The following is an 8,097-nucleotide window of genomic DNA, read 5'->3' on the forward strand; positions in this document are numbered from 1 at the left end:
GATGCGGAGAAACTGGAACCATCGTATGTGTTGTTAGAAGGAATGTGAAATAGTACAGTCACTTGAGAAAATAGTTTGGTATTTTCTTTAAAACTTAAACACACATCTACCAAAGGTCCCAGTAATTTTACTCCTACATATCCGCCCATGGCAAATGAAAACATATACCTACACAGGCATTATTTATAAAGCAAAAAAAAAAAATTAGAAATAATCTAAATGTCTATCAATTGGTAACTAGACAAAGTGGGGTATAACTGTGTATTGAAATACTCAGCAATAAAAATGAACTGCTGACACATTCAACAACATGGATTTACTTCCAAAGCATGGTTTAAGAGAAAGAAGTTTGGCACCAAAGCCTGTGTATTGTATGATTCTATTTAAGTGAAAGGTCTGTTAATGGCAAATCTAAGGAAAGAGAAAGCACAAGAGGACTGCCTGAGGCTTGGGAGGGTAGCGAGGACTGACAATGGGCATGAGGGACCAGCTTGGGGTAACAGAAACATTCTAGAACTGGATCATGGTGATGGTTGCACACCTATATGAATTTACTAAACCCATAGTATTATAGATTTATAGTGAATAAATGTATGCTAGTTAAACTATAATAAAGTTATTAATTAAGAAGCAATAAAGTTTCACAATGAAACTTCTCCAATAGATCTCACTGGTGCCAATGTACAAATACCAGACATAATTCATTTGTAAACAAAGTGTGGCTCACTGTCAGGACTAAGGGAAGCAAGATTCCTAGAGTCTAGAAATATCACCTAATTCTCAAAGAAATAAGAGTGGTGGCTATCAAGTTAAGATGATTACTTGCCTCATAAGCTTATTTCATTTACATGAATGAGGTGTATGTGTGTGTAATTATGTAGAAGCCATCACATTCAGTCAGATCTGCAATAATAGTGGTAATGGAAACATAAACCTAAGCAGGATTCTCAATGAGTTTTTGCACTGACGTGCACAGGCAAGCCCATATCTCTGCCTCTAAGCACATACTCTCTTTCCAAAGGTTGTGTAATGAGTGAGTCAGAGCTGTGTACACATAAGAAAGGAAAGAGGGCAAGGCAGGGCAGGAATTCAGCTCAATGAAGCCGCGGAGCCTCCATTTAAAAATGATACTAATGAGCCCACAGAAGACATTTTTACCAACATTTGTTAGATCCCCTACAATTTAAGCTATAATAAACTGGATAGTATCAAAACTAGGCTCATTTATAACTTGACAGACAGTTAAAAGAGTTATTTGATTGTTGAGCAGATTCTTCTTCCAAAATAAAAACTAATCCATTTTTTAAATTACAAATTTCACATGAAAGAAGCTAGTATCTGTGTATGAATACTTAAATATCAAATGAAAAAGACACAAATGTTCTGTAAAGTCTATTCTGAACTGAAAGTTATAGCATTGGACTGGGAATTTTTGCTTTGTCATGGCAGAATATGGTTCTGCTCTATTCAGACAGGCACAAAGGGACTGTGGGATGTAGAGATTATATACAGACTGAAAGGATGAGCATGGATCTGCCGTGCCCTAACCCCCAGCCTCTACTGTGGTGCTTTGCACTATTTCTAGGAATGTTCTCATGAGTTACTTTCTGAATAAGCCAACTTCTGACTGTGGCTGAATTGTGGGTCAAATCATTCACATAATGGTTTGTGTAATTTGAAAAGAGCAAGCAGCATGCCGTGTGGTCTAAATCAGGGAATCTCAACCTCAGCACTTTGGGCATTTGGGATGGGATAATACCTTCATTATGAGAGTTATTCTATTCATTGTAGGATGTTTAGCAGCATCACTTGTCCCTATCAACTAGATGCCAGAAGCACTGTCGCCCTAATTAGACAACCCAAAACACTCCCACAAATTGCCAACTATCCCCTAAGAGCAACACTGGCCCCAGTTGAGAACTACTGATCTACACGATCATTTCAAACTCTTTGGAGTAGTGAAAAGATTGTATAGAAACTTTGAAAAAGTATCATTTCCTTCACTGTTGAACTGTCCAGATAACTGTAAAGCTATTGATACCTTGAAAATGCAAAGTATCTTGAAAAGTGAAGACATTTGCAAAAAGCAAAGTGTCATTATTTCACTTTTATTGCATCAACGAACTCCACCATTAAGAACGGTGAAAGAGGAAAACACATTTGATCTAAGCATTCAAACTGGATTTAAAAAGAGATTCATTTTTACTACCTGGCTGATGCAGGTCCAAGCTAAACCAATCACCTTTATTATGAAATCACAGCAAAAGACAAAATCCAAAATTTATACACAGAGTATCACCACGTTTGACTACAAAGCCTTATGATATACAGAGACCCTCACTTAATTAAACCATCAAAGTGAGAACAGCCATAATGTGCTAATTTTTGTTGAGCAGTATTAGTTGATGGACACTAAAATTCTCCTGAATAAAGTGAATTATCATTCTGTTCTAGTGGCCTCCTGTTCACCCCGTCGGTGAGGGAGGAGTCCCCCACCCTAAATAATACAAGATGGCCAAACACCAAACCCTGGGCAGATGAAATAGCAATTTGTTGGTCACATATACTCACAGCCCAGAGGAGAAGAACATCCCATACCATGTAGGGCCACACTGGGGTTGGACTCAGAACAATCAGAGGCCATGGTGAGGCACACTTTGTAGTAACAAGGGGGTGAGATAACCCCTGGTTCCCACAGGAGGATGTGATTGGATTGTTTGAAGAAATTTGTTGGATGGCAAGAAAATGAAAGCCTGTTAGGTTGCAGACTGGTGGAGTGCAGCTGGTCTGACTAATAGGGAAACTAGCCAGGTGGAAGCCTTTTTCACTGGGGGTCAAGGGGACACATCTAGCAAGAACAAGGGAACTTATGGTTAGGTCTTTGGGGCCCGGTGACGCACAAACATATCAAGGCATCACATGGTGTTCTAGGCCACATAATACACATTGTCAGGGAGTTGGAAGTGTTTTATGATGTCTCACTCATTTTGAATGCAAAGAGAATACCAAGTGATAGATATATCCTCCTGCATGACTTAGCTGTACTGAAGCTTTTCAAAACAGGAGTGAGTCTTAAAGAAATAGACTTGAACTACTCTAAGCATTCTTTCAAGACTTTTAATAGTAGTAGCTATACTGGGTATAGTGCACACTTCTAAACACTGTAGGGAGCTATTAAACAAGAAGGGACACAGCCCTTTTCCTTTTTTTTTTTTTTTTTTTGAGACAGAGTTTCGTTCTTGTTCCCAGGCTGGAGTGCAATGGCGCAATCTCGGCTCACTGCAACCTCCGCCTCCCGGGTTCAGGGGATTCTCCTGCCTCAGCCTCCTGAGTAGCTGGGATTACAGGCACCCACCACAACGCCTGGCTAATTTTTGTATTTTTAGTAGAGATGGGGTTTCGCCATGTTGGCCAGGCTGGTCTCGAACTCCCGACCTCAGGTGATCCGCCCACCTCAGCCTCCCAAAGTGCTGGGATTACAGGCGTGAGCCACCGCTCCTGGCCACAGCCCTTTTCCTTAAGTAGCTCATGTATACATGACCATAGTGTCCTGCACAGATATCAATGCTCCTGTGGGACTTTTCCACATAGGTCATCATGCAAAGGAGAAACTAAGTGGATGCCATGAATTGTAATACTCCATATCTGTAAATAGAACATACACGAAGGGGAACCCTAGCATTTTTCCTATGTTAGGAACTTCAGCACAAGGCTAAACCCTGGAATTCTGTAATCAGATTACAAATCCTCCAAAAAATAATTTTAACATTTATTTCTATAGGTCCTGATGTAAAAACCAAGGGCCTAATGCAGGTCTGAGAGTCACTTTGAGGCAAATAAGAGCTGAAAGTCAGAGACCTGAGTTTGAAAACATTTTCTGATACTTTCTAGCTATGTGAGGTTACAAGGGGTTATCACCCAGAGCCTATGGGCTTATTTCTCTAACGAGGTTGTTAGAAGCATTATATGTGAGGGTGTCTGAGACTGAAAAATAGTAGATATTTCTACTTATCCAAACATCCGTATACAACACGCAAAATTATAAGAATCTTGGTTTTATATCAAAGTCAATTCAATAAAACAACAAGAAAAACACACAAGATGCAGCCCTGTAAAAGGTACAGACATCTTGCCAGAGAATAGAAGGGAGGGAAGTTGAATGAAGGTATTGGTGTTAAACATGGTTCCGGTGTCATGTTAGGTAAAAACATTTTAATTTGTCCACTCCAGCATTATGTATGCCCTCACTGTATCTAAATGGGTCAGAGTCCTAAATTAGCGAAACATCTAGTGGCCCCTCTACATCTTTAGCATGAACTTTTGGAATTGATCTTATAGCGCTGAATCTTAAATCAGGAAGAACTCTGAAACAGCATCAAATACCTACTATGTGTAACAGAGATCTTACATGATATTGACAACTAAGTGTGAAAGTGAAAATGACGAATAGTACTGCTATTTTAGAGAATTTCAGATTAGTAAAACTGGGACTATATTTTCATATAGCCTATATGTTAATAGGTTCTTCACATACTTCCTGAAGTGTGGAAGTAGAGGAGAGGCTATTATAGTGTTTGTGTTTGCCCTTATAGTTGACAGGAAGGTAAAAGGACTCCAGCTGTTGTGGATCAACAAACTTTGAACTTGTCCAATTTTCTCTATGTATAATTGAGAAAATCTTGGAACTTCACTAGGAGCTGTGTGTGAATATATGTTATTAATATTTATGGCTCTTTCTCAATAAGTTCTGGAATCCACCCTTGACTACTGGGAAAATCACAGGCAAATAGAGAGAACCTCAAGCTTTGTATAGCCCATTATATTTTTCAAAGCATTTTCACTGCTATTATCTCATTTAATCTGGTCCCAACCTATTATAGGCTATACAAGGAACAACGCTAGCAGAGGAAAGGAAGAGAAGAGAGGCTCCTGGTAACTGCACTAGCACAGAAATTTCTTATTTGCTGCTGATGTCCTGAAAGGCAAAACCCCTCCCTGCCCTCCTTCCACTCAGCCTCTTCCTTTCAGGGCATTCAATGGCAATTGTTGGAAATCTTGCTTTCATCCTTCCTTTTCTCCTCGGGCAGGCAGGGGGCCACAGAGCCATCAGCTTAAGGTTGCCTGCAGAGTGTTCCTTCTCCTCTCCCTGCTTATAGCAGAATGGAAAACTACAGGGAAGGAAAAACAGTGTGTGAATGCAGCAGTGAAAGCGCCAGACCTCTGAAAATCTGCAACCTGCTCTCCTTACCTGAGTTGTAAAAATTTAGGGGAAGGGTGTTAAGAATGGAGAATATGGAAATTTAAAGAAAGCGTGAGAGGGCTGAAATTCTCCCGTCTCTAAAAGCAGGTATTATTCTTCCTGACACTCCTGCCAGTGAGTGGATTCCATAGTTCAAAGGTCATTAACATGAAGAATTTCAACAGAATCTTGCTGTTTGTCTTTGAACAGGATATTCACAGTTGTGGAAGAAAACTCTAAGATCCACTATGCAGCTGAATTTGGTCAGTGTGGAGTGCCTAGAGCAGTATTATACATTGGAGGAACGTTTGTTGATAGGTCGAAGGACTACAGGTGACAAGTTGCTAGCACTTGTCCATCAGCCACTGGTGGTATTGAACGCTGTTATTTATAAACTGTGAACACAGATACATATTTTTTCTTTTCATGGGAATAGTCCTAGAGAATTTTAAGAACCAAGGAAGATGTCATCCCCAAACACACACACCTACACCCACACCCACGCCCACACACGCACACTTCAAGACTTAAGCTAAGCTTGGGTGCCAGAGGACAGTAGAATCAGATGAGATGGAAAGCTGTGTTTGATGCACCCATATGCACCCACAGGAAGCAGGAACCCAGAAGTTCCAGTTTCTGCTCCACACGAGTGATCTGGGGTGGTCAGCATCCAGCCAGTCTTTATTCAGTCTTCTTGAACTCTGACCCAACTGTGTGTCCTTAGCCAGATACAACAAATAACCTGTCTAGTTCTGATTCTAAAACCAGGTGGACAGAGAATATCATGAGTGTAGAATGTGAAATTACAATCTTCAATATCAAAGGGAGAGAGTACACCTTTTATGAGATGTCAGTTGTTTTTTAAGAAAACTGGAATAAAGGACACACACCTTTATGTAAATGACAGAGTTGAACACATAACTATCCTTTCTGCAATATTCAGAGAGGAGACTAGCAACACTTTCAGTAGCATTAGCTAAAGAGTGTGTGTGTTTGTGTGTGTGTGTGTGTTTTGCACTGTGAAAAACCAGATGGCATGTGATATAGCGTAAGAAACATTGGACTTGGAGTCAAGACAACTGAATTTTAATCCCAACTCCTCCCAACTCCCAACTTTAATTTCCAAAGTTGTCACTATACATACAACTTTGGAGAATTGCCTACCCTTTCCAATTCTTGGTTTCTTCATTTCTCAAAGTAGGCATGGTGCTAATTCATCCCCAATGCCCCTTCTGGCTATATAAGGTCAGCCCTGCATCGCTCGCCTTGGGCACATCTTTATTTAATCAAATTAAGAGCATGTTACACTGATTTTCCTAGATTAAACAGAATGTACCCAACTTGATATAGGAAAACTTAGTGTTTTCAACAATCTTACAGGAAGCAAAAGCCTCCTAACTGGGTGGGAATAGAAGGAGCTAACCACAAGTTTGAAGGTTGGAAGGTTAAAGCATGTTCTATTTTTCATCACATTCCCTGAAGAAAACATCCTATGGGACAAAAACTTCTCATTCTGCTTGTAATGGTATTTGGCACTTGAGTATTTCCTCACACATCTACAATATGTATTATCATGTTTTGAATTTTTTTTTTTTTTTGAGATGGAGTTTTCTCTTTGTTGCCCAGGCTAGAGTGCAATGACATGATCTTGGCTCACTGCACCTTCTAACTCCTGGGTTCAAGCGATTCTCCTGCCTCAGCCTCCCTAGTAGCTGGGATTACAGGCACCCACCACCACCCCCAACTAATTTTTGTATTTTTAGTAGAGGGAGGGTTTCACCATGTTGGCCAGGCTGGTCTCAAACTCCTGACCTTGGGTGATCCACCCGCCTTGGCCTTCCAAAGTGTTGGGATTACGGGCGTGAGCCACCTCACCCAGCCAAAAATTGGTATCTTTCTTAATTATTACCATGGAACTTAGAAGGAAAGGTTGCAATTTATTGTTGACTGTGTGTGCATGTGCATGTGTGAGTAAGGAAAGAAGAAAAAAAAGAGGAGGAAAATCAACAAAAAATGGAGAAAGCATTAATTACTGTTCATTTGTGTAGAAAGTTTCACTTCATTTTGACAATTCATTTTGTTATCTGTGATCATCATGTCCTTGATTCCTATATAATTGAAAGCTAACTCTAGAATGCTCTAACTTATATTCTAATACAGCCATAGCAAAGACGAAGCTTTATTTGGTGGTTCTGTAATCAACATGTAATTTTACGTAGCCATAGGTATGAATAATTTTTCAGTGATGTGCCAAAAAAGTGTTCCTCAAACTTGTTTTTTAGTTAGAAGAAAAATCTGCAGTTCTCGTGTGGCAGACATCCTATGTTACATATTCAGCTCTTGTTTTTCAATAGGAATTTGGCAAAGCCATTTATAATTTTTTTCAAAACATGAGAAAAAGTATACTTTTATTCCATGTACATTCTGCCCTTTAAGCCTCTAAATTTCACTGCTTGGAATAAATTAATAATGTTATGATATTAATAGAATTTTAGAAATATTGATAGAGAAATATTTTTTAATCCCATTTTAAAATAAGGATTTCTCCAAATTCCTATTCAGATATGCTCATTATCTCTATCTTTCAAGGTACAGAGAAATATTCTAATTCAACCAAATTTACTCCTGGAGCTTAAACTTTTAATTTCTGATATAATACTACTTTATCATTTATACCATAATGATACAATTTATCAGAGGAAAAATATTATGAAAGTTTAAGAAAACATTGGAATTCTAATATATCAAAAGACTGTTTCCTCTAAACCTATTGCGTTGTGTTTTAATATTGGGGAGCTTTTCACTTATTTAACTAAATTCAAAATAGCAATTTCCAACAAAGACCCAATTCAAATTAA

General features: G+C 39.0%; 2 annotated features.

The window, feature by feature from the left end:
* Positions 805 to 1,099: an enhancer, noted in NCBI's record as "tiled region #7830; HepG2 Activating DNase unmatched - State 5:Enh". NCBI's record gives its function as "activates a minimal TATA promoter and a strong SV40 promoter by Sharpr-MPRA in HepG2 cells {active_cell/tissue: HepG2}" and the evidence as "EXISTENCE:reporter gene assay evidence [ECO:0000049][PMID:27701403]".
* Positions 805 to 1,099: a silencer, noted in NCBI's record as "tiled region #7830; K562 Repressive non-DNase unmatched - State 24:Quies". NCBI's record gives its function as "weakly represses a minimal TATA promoter and a strong SV40 promoter by Sharpr-MPRA in K562 cells {active_cell/tissue: K562}" and the evidence as "EXISTENCE:reporter gene assay evidence [ECO:0000049][PMID:27701403]".

The sequence above is a fragment of the Homo sapiens genome, chromosome 14 (assembly GCF_000001405.40).
Source record: "Homo sapiens chromosome 14, GRCh38.p14 Primary Assembly".
NCBI lineage: Eukaryota > Metazoa > Chordata > Mammalia > Primates > Hominidae > Homo > Homo sapiens.